Source organism: Homo sapiens, chromosome 1 (assembly GCF_000001405.40).
Source record: "Homo sapiens chromosome 1, GRCh38.p14 Primary Assembly".
NCBI classification, from domain to species: Eukaryota; Metazoa; Chordata; class Mammalia; order Primates; family Hominidae; genus Homo; species Homo sapiens.
Window position 1 is genome coordinate 97,683,621 of NC_000001.11, and position 17,437 is coordinate 97,701,057.

Here is a 17,437-nt window from a genome sequence, read left to right on the forward strand (position 1 = left end):
TAAATTCTGAGTTGCATTACAAAAAAAGGTATAAATAAACATCAGCTAAGAAGCCATTTCTCCTAAAGGGAATACCCAATTTTATTACACTATAAATGATCCTTTGGTGTAAAATCAATTGAGAGTATGCTTGATAAATTTAAAAAATGCAAATATGGCTAATAAAGTGAAAAAATAATGAATTATATCACAAGAATACAGAAGCAAATGAAAATACTATCCTACATAACTGTTGTCTACACGGGGGAAAAAAACCTACTTTCTGAAGAAAAATAAAAATAATAAAATAATGAAAACACATGGATGCTGACAAAGATTTTTCTGAAACTAATAACTTTAAATGTTTTCATTATTCAATCTATAAAATGAAAATGAAGTAAGTTTACAACTCAAGATTTTACAGCAAATAACAAATAAGTTCCACTCTGATCTTGCTTATTTCTTGTCTTCTGCTAGCTTTGTGGATATTTTTCTCTTGCTTGTCTAGTTCTTTTAGTTGTTATGGTAGGGTGTCAATGTGAGACCTTTCTAGCTTTCTGAAGTGGCATTTAGCGCTGTAAATTTCCCTCTTAACACTGCTTTAGCAGCATCCCAGAGATTCTGGTACATTGTCTCTTTGTTCTCACTGGTTTCAAAGAACTTCCTGAGTTCTGCCTTAATTTCATTGTTTACCCAGGAGTCATACAGGAGCAAGTTGTTCAATTTCCAATTGCGTGGTTCTGAGTGAGTTTCTTAATCTTGAGTTCTAATTTGATTGTGCTGTGGCCTAAGAGACTGTTAGTTATTATTTCAGTTGTTTTGCATTTGCTGAGGAGTGTTTTACTTCCAATTATGTGATCGATTTGAGAGTAAGTGCCATATAACTCCAAGAGCGGAACTGAAGGAGATAGAGACACGAAAAATCCTTCAAAAAAATGAATGAATCCGGGAGCTGGTTTTTTGAAAAAAAAATATATATATATATACACACACACCAATAGGTAGACTAATGAAGAAAAAAGAGAAGAATCAAATAGAAACAATAAAAAATGATAAAGGGGATATCACCACTGAACCCACAGAAATACAAACAAGCATCGAAGAATATTATAAACATTTCTATGCAAATAAACTAGAAAGTCTAGAAGAAATGGATAAATTCCTGGACACATACACCCTCCCAAGGCTGAACAAGGAAGAAGTTGAATCCCTGAATAGACCAATAACAAGTTCTGAAATTGAAGCAGTAATAAATAGCCTACCAACCAAAAAAAGCTCAGGGCCAGATGGATTTACAGCTGAATTCTACCAGAATTACAAATAGAAGCTGGTACCATTTCTTCTGAAACTATTTCAAACAATTGAAAACAAGGGACTTCTCCCTAACTCATTTTATCAGGCCAGCATCATCCTGATACCAAAACCTGGCAGAGATACAACAAAAAGAGAAAACTTCAGGCCAATATCCCTGATGAACATTGATGCAAAAATCCTCAATAAAATGCTGGCAAATGAAATTCAGCAGCATATAAAAAGCTTATCCATCACAATCAAGTTGGCTTCATCCCTAGGTGCAAGGCTGGTTCAACATATGCAAATTAATAAATGTAACTCATCACATAAAGAGAAATAAAGAAAAAAACACATGATTATCTCAATAGATGCAGAAAAGTCCTTTGATAAAATTCAATATCCTTTCCTGTTAAAAAATTCTCAATAAACTAGGTATTGATGAACATACCTCAAAATAATAAAAGCCATTTACAATAAACCCACAGCCAATATCATACCAAATGGGCAAAAGCTGGAAGCATTCCCCTTGAAAACTGGCATAAGACAAGGATATCCTCTCTCACCACTCCATTTCAACACAGTATTGGAAGCTCTGGCCAGGGCAATCAGGCAAAAGACAGAAATAAAGAGTATTCAAATAGGAAAAGAGGAAGTCGAACTGCCTGTTTGCAGATGACATGATCCCATATCTAGAAAGCCCCATTGATCAGCCCAATAGGTTAAGTTGATAAGCAACTTCTGCAAAGTCTCAGGATACAAAGTCAGCGTGCAAAAACCACTAGCATTCCTATACACCAACAATAAGCAGAGAACCAAATCATGAATGAACTCCCATTCACAACTGCTACAAAGAGAATAAAATACCTAGAAATACAACTAACAAGGAAAGTGAAAAACCTCTTCAAGAAGAACTACAAATCACTGCTCAAAGAAATCAGAGAGGGCACAAACAAAAGGAAAAATACTCCATGCTCATGAATAAGAATAATTAATATGACAATAGGCATCCTGCCCGAAGCAATTTATACATTCAATGCTATTCCCATTAAACTACCATTGACATTCCTCACAGAGTTAGAAAAAACTACTTTAAAATTCATATGGAACCAAAAAAGAGCCCATATAGCCAAGACAATCCTAAGCCAAAAGAACAAAACTGGAGGCATCATGCTACCCGACTTCAAACTATACTATAAGGCTGCAGTAACCAAAACAGCATGGTACTGGAAAAAAATAAACACATAGACCAATGGAACAGAACAGAGATCTCAGAAATAAGACCACACAATACAACCATCTGGTCTTTGACAAACCTGACAAAAACAAGCAATGGGGAAAGGATTCCCTATTTAATAAATGGTGCTGGGAAAGCTGGCTAGCCATATGCAGAAAATTGAAACTAGACCCCTTCCTTACACCTTATACAAAAATTAACTCAAGATGGATTAAAGACTTACATATAGGCCGGGCGCGGTGGCTCACGCCTGTAATCCCAGCACTTTGGGAGGCCGAGGCGGGCGGATCACGAGGTCAGGAGATCGAGACCATCCTGGCTAACACGGTGAAACCCCGTCTCTACTAAAAATACAAAAAAATTAGCCGGGCGTGGTAGCGGGAGCCTGTAGTCCCAGCTACTCGGGAGGCTGAGGCAGGAGAATGGCGTGAACCTGGGAGGCGGAGCTTGCAGTGAGCCGAGATCGCGCCACTGCACTCCAGCCTGGGCGACAGAGCGAGACTCTGTCTCAAAAAAAAAAAAAAAAAAAAAAAAAAAAGACTTACATATAAAACCCAAAACTATAAAACTCTAGAAGAAAATCTAGGAAATACCATTCAGGACATAGGCACGGGCAAAGATTTCATCATGAAAACATCAAAAGCACCTGCACAAAAGCAAAAATTGACAGATGAGATTTAATTAAACAAAAGAGCTTCTGCACAGCAAAAGAAACTATCATCAGAGTGAAGAGGCAACCTACAGAATGGGAGAAAATTTTTGGAATCTATCCATCTGACAAAGGTCTAATGTCCAGAATCTACAAGGAACTTAAACAAATTTACAAGAAAAAAACCAACCCCATTAAAAAGTGGACAAAGGAGGCCAGGCACGGTGGCTCATGTCTGTAATCCCAGCAATTTGGGAGGCTAAGGCAAGCGGGTCACTTGAGATCAGGAGTTCAAAACCAGCCTGGCCAACATGGTAAAATCCCATCTGTAACACAAATAAAAAAATTAGCCACGTGTGGTGGCAGCCACCTATAATCCCAGCTACTTGGGACACTCGGGCAGGAAAACAGCTTGAACCCAGGAGGTAGAGGTTGAAGTGAGCCAAGATAGTGCCACTGCACTCCAGCCTGGGTAACAGAGCTAGACTCCATCCTCCATCTCAAACAAACAAACAAACAAACAAAAAACTTACGTAAAGGACATGAACAGACATTTCTCAAAATGAGACATTTATGTGGCCAACAAACAAACATGAAAAAAAGCTCAAAATCATTCAATCATTGGAGAAATGCAAATCAAACCCACAATGAGATACCATTTCACACCAGTCAGAATGGTGATTATTAAAAAGTCAAGAAACAACAGATGCTGGCGAGGCTGTGGAGAAATATAAATGCTTTTACACTGTTAGTGGAATATAAATTAGTTCAACCATGTGGAAAACAGTGTGGCAATTCCTCAAAGACATAGAACCAGAAATACTATTTGACCCAACAATCCCATTTTTGGGTATATGCCCAAAGGAATATAGATCATTCTGTTATAAAGATACATGCAGGTGTATGTTCACTGCAGCATTATTCACAATAGCAAAGACATGGAATCAACCAAAATGCCCATCAATAATATAGTGGATAAAGAAAATGTGGTACATATACACCATGGACTACTATGCAGCCATTAAAAAAATTAGATCATGTCCTTTGCAGGGACATGGACAGAGCTGGAAGCCATTATCCTCAGAAAACTAACACAGAAATGGAAAACCAAACACTGCATGATCTCACTTACAAGTGGAAGCTGAACAATGAGAATACATGGACACAGGGAGGGGAACAACACACACTGGGGCCAGTTGAGTGGGGCAGGGACAGGGAGAGAATCAGGATAATTAGCTAATGCATGTGAGGCTTAATACCTAGGTGATGTGTTGATAGGTGCAGCAAACCACCATGTCACACGTTTACCTATGTAACAAATCTACGCATCCTGCACGTGCATCCTGGAACGTAAAATAAAATAAAATAAAACTAAATTTAAAAAAGAGACTAACAAATAAGAATAGCAGGGGAAAGCATTAATAAATATATAGTCAGCAATTAATGAATAAGAAAACAAAACTTTGATAACTGTTTATTTTAAAGAAAATATTAACTGGATAGGAAAACACAAAGGAAATTTAGAGATGCAAGAGCAAATATAATCACAGGCACAGATGACATATTTTTATTGTATACTGAAATAGTAGACTTAAATTTTTGCTAATAAATTCAAAAACCTCAATGAAGCAGAAATTTTTCTAGAAATATATTGGCAAAATTGATACGAGAATAAAATCAGTGGAAAAAACTTATAGACGATATGAAGAAAAATGGTCATAGTTCTATTTCATAAGAGGGTTTGGAGAAGATGACAACTTCCAAATTTAGTAAAAAAGATGTCTCAAGATAATATTCTTACCAATGAGAAAATAATAAAATGCTTAGAAGTTTAATTTTATAAGGCTAATATAACTCTATTATCAAAAATTCACAAAACAACAAATAAAAATAAAGCAAAACAAAACAAAAAGTCTTTGCACATTTAAAACTTGTAATGGTAACAACATTATTTGACTGTTCCCTGCGATATTTCTGGTTTTAATATCCATTACATAAATAAATGAATGCACAAGAAAAATTTTAAAAATACTAACCAATTGAATCTGAATTACATGTACAGAAATAAACATGATGCCAAAATTGATAAATTTTAGAAATTCAATGATTAGTATAATTCAACATATAAACTCAACGTAAGTATTTACAAAGGGGAATTGAAAAATTTAACACACTTTTGATTAACTTTTTAAATTAATAAAATGTATTAATGTAAGACTAGAAAAATATTTATTCAATATGATTAAAAATCCCATTTCAGAGACAAGAAAAAGAATTCCATGTATTATACCTCTTTTTTTTTTTAACATACTAGATATTGAAATTGTGGAAGAAAAATATGAATAATGTACAAATAACAAACAAAATTATCTTTATTCTCTTGTAACATGATATTTGACTTTAAAAAATTAATCTTAGAACTAACAAGGACTGATTGGCTAATAAGATAAATTGAAATTAAAATATTCAATAGGAAATGCAGCTAAAAAAAGATAGTTGGGAGTGAAGATAAAGAAACTGAACTGGGTTCTGGATATAATCAGGTTATGTTATTTGGATGATAATACGCTTATTAAACTACTAAGTATACAGGACTGGAGTTCAAAAGAAGGATGGCTCTACATGGTTCTAGTCCTGGCATACTACTTGGCAAAAATAAGTTCTGAACAATTATTTGTTGAGTAAATGAAATAAACCTCTTTGGGAAGTAAAAGAGAAAGTAGAAGAATAAACAAGATAATGCTAGGTCATGAAAGTCAAAATACATACATACATATATAAGAGAACTCTTACATCATATGCTACACGGGAGTCAAACAGTATGAACCCACAAAAATAGTTCATTTCATTGCCAGGAAATTATTTTTGACTTTAAAATATATATTAGTTGAGAGAGACAAACAGAAGGCAAATTATAAAAAGAACCTCCGTGATGACTTTTCAAAAGGAGGTAATGAGCACAGACCACTTTGTCAAAATGTACCCACTTATGGCTAAAGTTCGTAAATCATAAAAGCTGCAAGAGTATCTCATCAAAGGATACAAATCCTCAAAGTGAAAAGGAATCTCACTGCTATCTTTCCTCAGAATTGTATATACAGTTTATTGTTTACAAAGCAAATTTGAAAACATCATTTCCTTCACATCTTAAAACAGCTTGAGAGATGGACAAGACAGTACTGTTAGCTTTCTCTTTAATTTAGGTTCCATTTTTTTTCCTCAATAATGTAACAGATTCACAGTTTAAAATTCAAATGTACAAAATGTTGAAAAAATTGTCCCACACCTTCTCAAAGGCAATCTGTTCTATCAGATTCTTATATCTTTCTGAGATATTCTTTGCATATGTAAACAAATATTTTTATATTTTGTTCAAATATTAGTAGCATACTTTTTATTTGAGCAGATTTTGAACAACGTTCTAGATATTAATAGACTTTGCCAAAGATATCTGACAAAATTAAAAAGTGGCATGACTATAGCTAAGATATATTTCTTGGCACTCAGTATATTGCCTACTACTGCACCTTGATGAGTTTTCAAATAAGAGTAATGGGTATGCTCTAATTTATGCAATATATCTGGTCCTGTGAAAACTGAATGCAATTTTGCAATTTTATATAAGATAAATGGAGAAATAAAGCCTAATTTCTTTTTTCATTTTTTATTAATATATAATAATTTTACATATTTATGGGGTGATACATGCATAGAAAGTGTAATGATCAAATCAGGATAATTAGGATATTCATCACCTCAAACATTTCCCATGTCTTTGTGTTGGGAACATTCATCTTCAATTCAGAATACCGAATCTAATAGTTGGAAATTTCAATAATCATTTCCATATTTGATGAGATTTAGAGAAGAACTTGTATTCAAAATGAAAGACATTTAAAAACTTTTCAGAATGTACTTCTGTAAAATAATCACCTCTAAATTATCTATTTTGAACACTGTAATTTTGAACATTAAGTTTTATAAAGTTGCCCAAATCTATACTATGTGTTTTTATTCCCAGACATCTTGTTTAGTCATTATGTGTGAATGTTTCATCACCCGGCCACTGTCAATTAAAACGTAATTATAAATATAAACCACAAAATATTTTTTTGAGTGTTTTCTCTTTTATTGATTCATTTTAAGTTTTACTGGTAAATGCAAAAGGTATGAGTAGTTTGTTAATCACTTTTCAAAGTATCTTCTGCATATACTTACAGCATGTATTATGTAAATCACAGTACATTATTAATCTATTGTGTTATATCTATTATGAAAAATTAACATTTTTGAAACAAAAATAGCAATATGTTCAAGTGAAGAGCTAGAATATAATGCTCTTAACAGAAAAGAAGAGGAATATTTAAAGCTATATGCTGAAAATAACGATGTGTCAAATTTTCAACCATCTCGAAAAGAATAACACAATATTTATTTAACAAAATAATAAAAAATACGAAGCTGTTGCTTTCTATCCCACTGATTTACTGCTTGTGTTGAGAAAGGATTATCACATTCACACTACTGACATGATGAATATAACAAATAAAATAAATCTCCATAAGAAATTATGTTCCAAATTGTGAAATACTAATGTTTCAGAGTGCACACAACTTGCATGAAAAAACATGATTAAAGAAACCAAATCCTTCTATTAGCTGCACTGAACCCCTAAAGCAATTTAGGAATTTGTTTCTTACAGACAATTAATCACATGCAGGCATGCCAGATGAGAACTATTGATTGCCCTTTTCCAGGCTAGTGGCATTCAGACAGTAGACAGACAAATGCCCTAAGCAAGGGGAAGCATCTTTCTGCTTCTGCCTGATGTAGCTTTTAATTGTTCTTTCCTAAAATGCATGACATTTGCTGTTAATCTTTAGTGTAGAGCTTACTCCTTTCTTTTTGAGCAGTACACAGATAGGTGTTTTTTTCATTTACCTTTACACCAAGGTCCTTCATTAGCTCAATCTCAAAATTCACTACATCATACGGCAGCCGGAACTGAGGAATTTCAGAAGTACTGAAAAGAAAGGAGAAAGAAAAACAGGCATCAGTAGAAAAATGACCAATCTTTGACCAATCTTAAAAAAAGGTAACATGTCTTTATGGATTAGTAGAAAATAAATATCTCTTCCAAGGATATTTATATATCACACAAGATATGCATGAGGACATCTACATTCTTATTGATATAAACATGTTACGTGGAGTGAAGATACAGTAGAAACTGATATAAAAATAACTAAATTACAGCAACAGAAAATGATAAATATAAAACTGGCCAAAAGCAATTTCAATACTTTTAAGTTCAATAAAGTATTTGGTTGATTTATTTAATAATAATTCTATAAATTCCTAAGATAAAAAATCTTAAAATCTATTAATAAAGCTAGATGGAGATATAGATTTTAATATATGTATACACATATATATATACACTAACATTCATATACATAGTCTATAAATGTACTTCTAGCTTGTTGATATGCAAATGTGTAACTGTATTACCATACTGTTTAGAATATTACAAAATCAGTTCCATGTGATCTATAGAACATTTTAGTCTTCTGTGAAAGCAATGAGTATTCCAAAAGTTCAGTCATTAAAAAACAATTCTATTGTATATTAATGCCTATTGCCTGCATTTAAAAAAAAAATGAGGCCTATGGCACTATTATTTGAGTAGTATAATAGAGTATTAAAAGTAAGCTAAAAACACTTTCCAGTGTTTTGTTAACAATTAAAAAAGCTATGTATGTCCATGAATACACAGCAATCCATTCATTCATTCATTTGCTGAATCATTCATTCACCTACTCATTAAAAGTGAATAGTGCCAGGCACAGTGTTTACGAAGTGCCAGCTAAGTGTAAGCTGCAATGATTTGATGGTGAATTTCACCAAATTCTCACTGTTAATAAGTTCTTTTTCTGATCAGGGAAGGATACACAAAAGATAATTACATTTAGAATGTGGTACGCACAATGAGAGAAGTATATCCATTATATCTTTAATGTGTATATATACATAAAATAGCAATCATATTTTATATATTATAGAGATTAATTTGGAAAATAAATAATTGTTGAAGATGAATCTTCTGGATCATCAATTGAAAAATCTCCCAAAGTACAGCCTTTTCATTGTTTGATGACTTAAGAACTTGATTATGCAATTAATTTTTATATATCAATCAGCAAGACATCATGCTCAATGCTATAGAAAATGCAAGGTATCCGCGGTGGCTCACGCCTGTAATTCCAGCACTTTGGGAGGCCGAGGCCAGCGGATCACGAGGTCAGGAGATCAAGACCATCCTGGCTAACACGGTGAAACCCCGTCTCTACTAAAAATACAAAAAAATTAGCCAGGCATAGTGGCGGGCACCTGTAGTCCCAGCTACTTGGAAGGCTGAGGCAGGAGAATAGTGTGAACCCGGGAGGTGGAGCTTGCAGTGAGCCAAGATCATGCCACTGCACTCCAGCCTGGGCGACAGAGCCAGACTCCGTCTCAAAAAAAAAAAAAAAAAAAAAAAAAAACCAAAAAAGAAAATGCAAGGTATCAAACACCATAAAATCAAAGCTGTACACTAAAGGAGCTTCCCTCTAGTTAGGAATACAAGATGATGTTTAAGAATGAATTCAGGCATAGGGCAGGGATAAAAATCTCTTAAGCCAACTTGTGAACTCCAGCCACATTACCTCAAGGTAACAAGAATGTGCCAGAATGCTCTGGGCACCAAGAAGGTTTTCCCTTCAAAGTCTAAGTAGAAAGATTCTTAACAACTATGGACTGTATGTGGACACAAACAGACACACAGACTTGATAGACATGGGGCTGCATGAGAGGGAGATTAAATATGGACTAAAACTGGGCACTGATGCAGATCCTCAAAAGGTTGAACAGGAAAGCAAAAGCAATGGACTATGAACAAAGAATTCCAGCCAAATAAACCAACTACAACAAGATGAGAATCTTAAATACATCCAGACACATTGTGAAGCCGAGAACCTTCCAATGAGTCAGGCCTACTCTTGGATTTTTATGGGATGTTAAGTAGAAGCACATGGAATAAAAGGAAAAAAAATGGTGTGAGTGCAAGTCAATGGTTCTGACTTAAGAAAAAAACTCTGAAAGGCATGTTATAAAAAGCAGGGACAACTTTTCTGTTGGTCAGAAAAAAATAAAGGAAGGAACACCTAACCTAGCAGGAAGACACCTGAGAAAGGAGGAAGGGGCAGCCACCACCCTTGGCAGTATAACTTTGAATGCAGATGCAGGCACCAGAGAAAATGGAAGCCAGGCTGCTGGAGTTCAGCAACTCTGCTTAAAACCCCATGCTGCTCTGGAACCATTGTCACCAACACTTAGCACAGTGTTAAACGAATAAGTGTGAGAGAATCCATTTCCCAGCATCTCCTGAAGCAAATCAGAGAAATATGAAATACTGAGAAATGTTAGATTTGGTTACAGTCAAGTAGGTAGGGGGTAGGTGGAAATTACTGATTGTGAAAAATGTGACGTTTTTATATTCACTAATGGATGAAGTCAGCAAATAGACGAAACACATACACACATACATCAGCAGAACAACATGACAAATGTAAAATACTAAATGTGAACAAGTGTTTCAAAGGAGGGAAGGCTTATTGTGGGATGAGATAAGTGGGTAGGGGAAATGTCTTAGGACTTTAAAATATCATCAGTGTATGATGGCTTCCACATTTTTCTTCTTAAATTCCAGACTTTTATGTTCACTTGGGTGTCTAATGGGTAACTCATATTTATCATGCCTAACAGTAAGCTTTGGTTCTTGCATCCCAACACTGGTCCTCAGACAACCCCATTTTATGAGTTGCTCAGGACCTAAACTCCATCATCACACACTATTCCCTTTCCAGCCCCACACCAAGCCCAGATGCAGGCAGTAAAGTAAAAAGGTGTGTTCTTTTTAGACAATTTAAAAACCATTATAAAACTTACTAAAGTGAGTCTGTTTTGTCTTATTTTCATGAGCTAGCAATTCTAAATAATATCACTAATATCCTAAACAATGTCCTCTGCCAAAATAAAAAAAATTCTCTGGTGAGTCTAAATTCTAAACAATAGCCATAGTTGCTATTGAGTTTTAGTAATATATATGTAAGCTTTCAATGATCCCATTTTTATTACCAACTCTTTAATAAACATTGTGTTCTACAGGAAAGTTAACTTGCAGAACTACAGTTAAATAGAGGCCATCAGCAACTGCTGATTCAGCTACAGGCATTCCTCATTCCAATTCCCCATAGGCGACATATGCCTCCACTCTTGTGATACTACAGATTCCAATATGTGAAAAGTTGATTTGGAATAGATAAAATGATAGCACATGAAGCAATATTAATTACTTCAATTCTGTCATTTTGTATGATCACATGGAATTTTTGTGTTTAAAATTGAAAATAGCTATATCCTTCACATTAAAATAATGTTTTAATCATTTTTTGTTTTACAGGAATAAATTAAAAAATAATTATTACTGGTTATTGTGTGATTCTTATTCAATCTTATTGTATAGACCAGAGGATAGCATGTTAAAAAAATCTATTCTGAGTATCTAGTATGCTAGGTATACCACTAATCCATCATTTTTTAAAAACTTCCTCCTTGCATTTATCCTCACTTAACATATTCTATATTTGGTTTATTGTTCGTTTATTGTCTGTCTCCCCACGACTAAAATATAGGGCCCATGAGAAGGCACTTTGCCTTGTTTACTTTTATGCTCTAAATAGAGCCAGAAATAATGACCAGCACATAGTTAAGTGATCGATATATATATATACTGAAGGAAGGAAGGGAGGGAAGGAGAAAGGGGAAAATACAGGTAGGTATCAGGTCGTGGAAGGGTTTTTATGCCAGGACAGATCCTTTATCTCTGAGGTTAGGAGGAGTTGTTGAAAGATTTCAAGTGGAAGAGTGATAGAATCAGATTTGAAACTAAAGGAAGAATGAATTTGAAAAAACAAATCAGGAAGCCAAGATAACTGCTTGGAAGCTACTGCAGTGGTAAAGAAAGTGAGAGGTGGCCGGGCGCAGTGGCTCACGCCTGTAATCCCAGCCCTTTGGGAGGCCAAGGTGGGTAGATCGCTTGAGGTCAGGAGTTCAAAACCAGCCTGGCCAACATGATGAAATCCCATCTTTATTAAAAATACAAAAATTAGCCAGGCATGGTGGTGCATGCCTGTAGTCCCAGCTACTTGGGAGGCGGAGGCAGAAGAATCACTTGAATCCCGGAGGTGGAGGTTGCAGTGAGCCAAGATCTCGCCACTGCACTCCAGACTTGGTGACAGAGCCAGACTCTTTCAAAAAAAAAAGAAAGAAAAAAGAAAAGAAAAAAAGAAAAAAAAAAGGAAACTGAGAGGTAAAGGATATCAGAGGACATTTTTTTAGAGTGTTCATAAAGTGGAATTGCCAGGATATTAAAGAGTAGCCCAGATAATCCCCATTTTGGTGATGCCATCCTCTGAGATGGTAAACTCAGGAAGAGAAGCAACATTGATCATTGATATGAAGTTTATACGGAGATGTCTAGGATTTGAATGTATAAATCTGTTGCTTAGAATAGAGAAAGAGGTCAGGGCAGATATGGATTTTTAAGAAATTTGCATGTAGGTGATAATTGAAACCATGAGAGTAAATGAGATTATTCTGAAGACTGCATGGTGAGAAAGGAGATAAAAGGACAGAAGACAGAATTTAATAGGAATGATTATTTTCCAAGTTTGTTGTGCTTAGGAAAACAAACTTTTCTTCTATCTGTGCTCCTGTAACAATCTAAGGCTTTGAAAAAAAAAAATTTCTTGTAATCGTAAGTCCTTTAGTATAGTCAGTGGAAAGTCAGACAACATGAAAAAAATCTTTCTTCTATTTTCATGTTTCTTTCATGTGATGAAATATATCTATAACAACTTTCCGTTCTTTTTAAAGCACAATTCTCATACTCTGACAGAGGTATGCTTCAGTTTATTACTATAGAGATAATAGACTTAAATTTGTAATACATCACACATTCTCAAAATATTTCCTATTGCTATAACTAGTTCACCTAGACCTCATTTCTCTTTATTGTCAATCAACAAGAAAAACAATAGGCCTAATGAAAACAATATAAAATTTGAAAGAGGTAAAGCAAAGGGCAGCATTGGCCTCACTATCCTAACAATAACATCATAATCCTTATATATTAATTTATAAGAGAAAAATCAGAATGTATATATGTACAAACATTCTTGAAAATCTATTAGCACTATTTTGTTTATCTTTGTTATAATATCAAGCCCTTTTAACCCTGTTAAACTCGTGTCCTAAAAACAGAAGCCACTGTTAGAGGAAAGCAAAACTACTGATTATTTTATAAATTTGTTGCAACATTAAAAATAATTGATGTGTTCAATGCAATGGAGATTAAATCCTAGATATTTTTCACTGACTCCAGTGATTTCTTAAAAAGTGGTTGTGATACTAATTCACCAGAGATAAAAGAATCTGTTTGGATGCAAAGGAGAAGGAAAGATAAAACTTGACATTACCTCTTTAAGCAATTGATTTCAAATACAAAGCTAATTTAATCTTTTTTAGCCACTTTCAAGATACAAGAGAATGAGAGGCAGCCGTAAGTAGAAAATAAAGTAACAGGAAAGTTTTGTGGCTATAATTCCGGCTAAATTCCAGCATCAGTTTTTATAATCCTGTAACAGTGACACAGAATGCCTGTACCATGGGACAGTACAAAGGAGATTGATTAAATATTTCATATTGTCTCTACATACTGAAAAGATTCAAAGGCAAAAGAAAGAATTTAACAACTTTAAAAGAAAAACCACCATGTTTGGTCTGGATCCAGAGAACTCTGTCTCACTAAAAAAATGTTCAGCAAATAAATTTAAAAAAAACAAGTTTAGTACTAATTTATATGAATTACAAATGCCTATCCTGCATTTGAGTTAAAAAAGAGATAGGCTAACAACAGTAATCTACCAAAATTGGCAATACATAGTAAGTTACAAATAGGGTTGGTTCCATTTTAGGCCTTTTGTGAAAATGCAATCAAGTGGCAAACAGATTTTTCCTAGTTTACCAGGGTACACAATTAAGTTCATATTTTAAAAATTGACTCAGATATTCACTGATGTGTATAACTGAAAACAACATACAATGCTTATACATATATTGTTAATAGATTATGTTTTTTCTAATTAATAAAGCTGTGGTAAATACCATTAAAATGATATTCTAAATCTTTCCAGAGAAATAATATATAGGACATTTTACTTTCCAGAAAAATAAATTCATAAAATACATGTAATCTCTTGGAATTCATAGTAGTGGAACATCAGTACAGAAGAATAATTATTTCTTAACAATCAGGTTATTTATGTTTCATGCCCACACTAAAGGGTCTTCCTAAAATGTGATATTTTTGCTTGATGATTCAGTCAAATAAGATTATATTAATGATAGCTTATACATCAATATTTATGTTAATAAATATATCAACATATTTATATCAATGATACAAATAATTGATAATTGATAATTTTATATTATCTTGGGCTTAGCATATTGTTGTTTGAGTAATATTGAAATTTATACATTTATTAACATATATTCACTGGTGCCAAAAAACATAAGAAACTTCACAAATTTTAGTAACAAATTTGATTAAATTTATCCTCTGTGATTATTGGGTATGATTAATTTATTTGTTACACATAGGGCAGTAGCCACAACAAATTTAAATGTTAAGCATAGAAACAGATATTCCAAATGGATACATTTTGTAATCCATGATTTTTTTGATAATATACATAGAGAAAATAAAAATCAATTGAGTAATATTATTCAGTTACCATCCAAATTCTTTATTTTGTATAAAATGTTTTAAGCAATATCTATTCCCTAATTGTAATAAATTTTATTTCTTTATGATAATGAAATATGTGTCCCGTATAGAGTTCTGTTTATTTTCAATATATATTCCCATTTCCATGTATAAATTTTCATGGGAATAATATGATCATGTGATTTTAAAAATGTATATTTAAATACATTTCTAGTACATGCTGACAAAATTTTAATCAAAAGTAAGACTTAAGAAATTTTAAACTGAAAATATGTAAGACAACATATCTATGTAGACAACACAATGAATAGTCCAATATTCCATGGATCTAGGTTTTCCACATCACTAATATCCAGGATTTTCAGTTATATCTCCATTAAAAGAAATATTCACAGGGCTAAAATCATTTTTCATATGATTGGTTCTTATAATCAAAAAATAATTTGCAGAGATTTCTCTTAAATTCACAGAACTAGAGAGAAAATTTTTTAAATAAATATTGCTTCAAGCCAACTGCAAATTTTAAAGTGAATAATGTAATCAAAACTTGAACATTTGGAAAAAGAACATTTAAAATACCATCTGTGAGCCTGAAGTTCCTATATGATTATGAACCAACAATATTCATAATTGTTTTGCTCCATCATTTCTGACACTATAAACATGAAATAAATGTAGGCATTACCTTAAACCACCAACATATTCTTGTTTTTCAAATATAGTGATGTCAGAGTACCCCAATCGAGCCAAAAAGGAAGCACAACTTATACTTGCAGGCCCAGCACCAAAAAGAGCAATCTTTGCAGAATAGGCTTCAGACATTTTTTCTGGGGGAGGCAGCGAAGGATTTCTGATCTGTGGGATACTCATTGCTTTGAATACCTACGGGGAAATCAATTGTCATGGTTAAAATTTTGAAACTAGCTTACATCCTCAAACATATTTTTAATGTTTCAAACGAATTCTTGTTTTAAATAGCAATGAGCAGTACATTTTCAGTATTAATATGGTATACTTACAACTTTTATTGTGTCAAGTAGATGAGGAGTTATGGCTAACTTTCAGTCTTTCCTTTCTAGAGTCATGCCTCCTCTAGGAAACACTCATGGGGCACATTCCCTACTCCCACCTAGAGGGTACATTAAGTGCCTCTCCTCTAAGCTCCTACAGCATAATCTGTATGTCTCTAACATAACCATCTGTGGTATGTGTTATGATGTCAGTCAGTAGAATGAATGTTAGTTCCCTGAATCAGAAAACATGTCACATGTAAACACATTACCCTTGCATTATAGGAGTTAGCATTGCGATGGCACACGGTAGACATTTAATAAATAATTTCTTGAATTCTGCTTTTGATTATGACAGATTAACTTTGGGAGAATAATGATTTAAAAAAATAGTTGAAACATTCAAGAACTACTGACGCAGGCATCTTGGAAGGGCTAACATCTCAGAGGAAAGTAAGAACAAAGTTAAGTGACCAGAAGTCACTTTTCCCCTGAGGGATTTGCGACTTCTTACCAAAGGGAGGAAGGCTAAGCATCTTGAAGAGAACCACAGCTCAGAAAAGAGATGTTGGCAGTCTTTTGAAACCAGAGAGACACAGAGTTTTGGAAATGTAGGAGGCCATTAACCTAGAGCAAAATAAAGTACAGAAGAGTGAGATTAATTCTTAAAGTGCATATGACAAAAACCTAAAGATCTAAACAGAAAACCCTATGGTCCAGGAAAAACAAAAACTGGAGTGACTAAATAAGAAAGAGCCCTAGTACACACCTCAGTGTACGGCTGAAGCTTCTGGAGGGCTACACTCTACAAGTAGGGCAAATGAGGGGTAAATAGCCAACCTAGCCTTGAGTCAACTCAGCCCTGGATTTAAATGACAGTGATCAGTCCTCACTGTTATCTATGTACCAAACGATAGAATGCACTTTCTGTGAATAATAAGTCAACCACAGTTTCTACAAATTTTTTATAAAATGCCTGGGTTTTTATTTTTAAAAGTCCAAGCCTGCAAGAAAAATAAACCTAAAAAAATTGAAAGAGATACATACATAATCTCGTAAGTGTGGTTATCAAAAATAAATTTTAGAATAACTATGATTGATATGTTCAAAAATATGTAAGAAGAATGTAAACTTCATTAAAAGCTGGAATTTGTTAAAAATAAAAAATTAAATTTACTAAGTACATTTAGTAAAACATATTTAGCAAAAAAAATAACTAGCTAATGTGGAAGGAGGGAGTGGGATTTTAAAAACACATTATTAAAATGTATTAATTAAAATTATTATAAATAGGTGGTAGAGGGTAGGAAACAAAGAAACAAATGGTAAGATGGTAAATATAAATGTCAACATGAGAAATTATATTAAATGTAAATGGACTA

The 17,437-nt window shown here is 33.6% G+C and overlaps 1 protein-coding gene across 7 annotated transcripts in view; it reads right to left on the reverse strand.

The window, feature by feature from the left end:
* The window catches only part of DPYD (dihydropyrimidine dehydrogenase), an 843,317-nt gene that overhangs the window by 605,878 nt on the left and 220,002 nt on the right, over positions 1-17,437 (reverse strand). For 6 of the 7 annotated variants that reach the window (XM_047448077.1, XM_017000507.2, XM_005270562.3 and 3 more), the window contains 2 exons: positions 15,731-15,927; positions 8,097-8,178 (listed from right to left, as the gene is read on the reverse strand). In XM_047448077.1, the coding sequence (XP_047304033.1) occupies positions 8,097-8,178; positions 15,731-15,927 (279 nt within the window). Of the gene's footprint in view, positions 1-8,096; positions 8,179-15,730; positions 15,928-17,437 lie in introns of those variants that run through there. The other variant, XR_001737014.2, reaches the window with a different exon arrangement.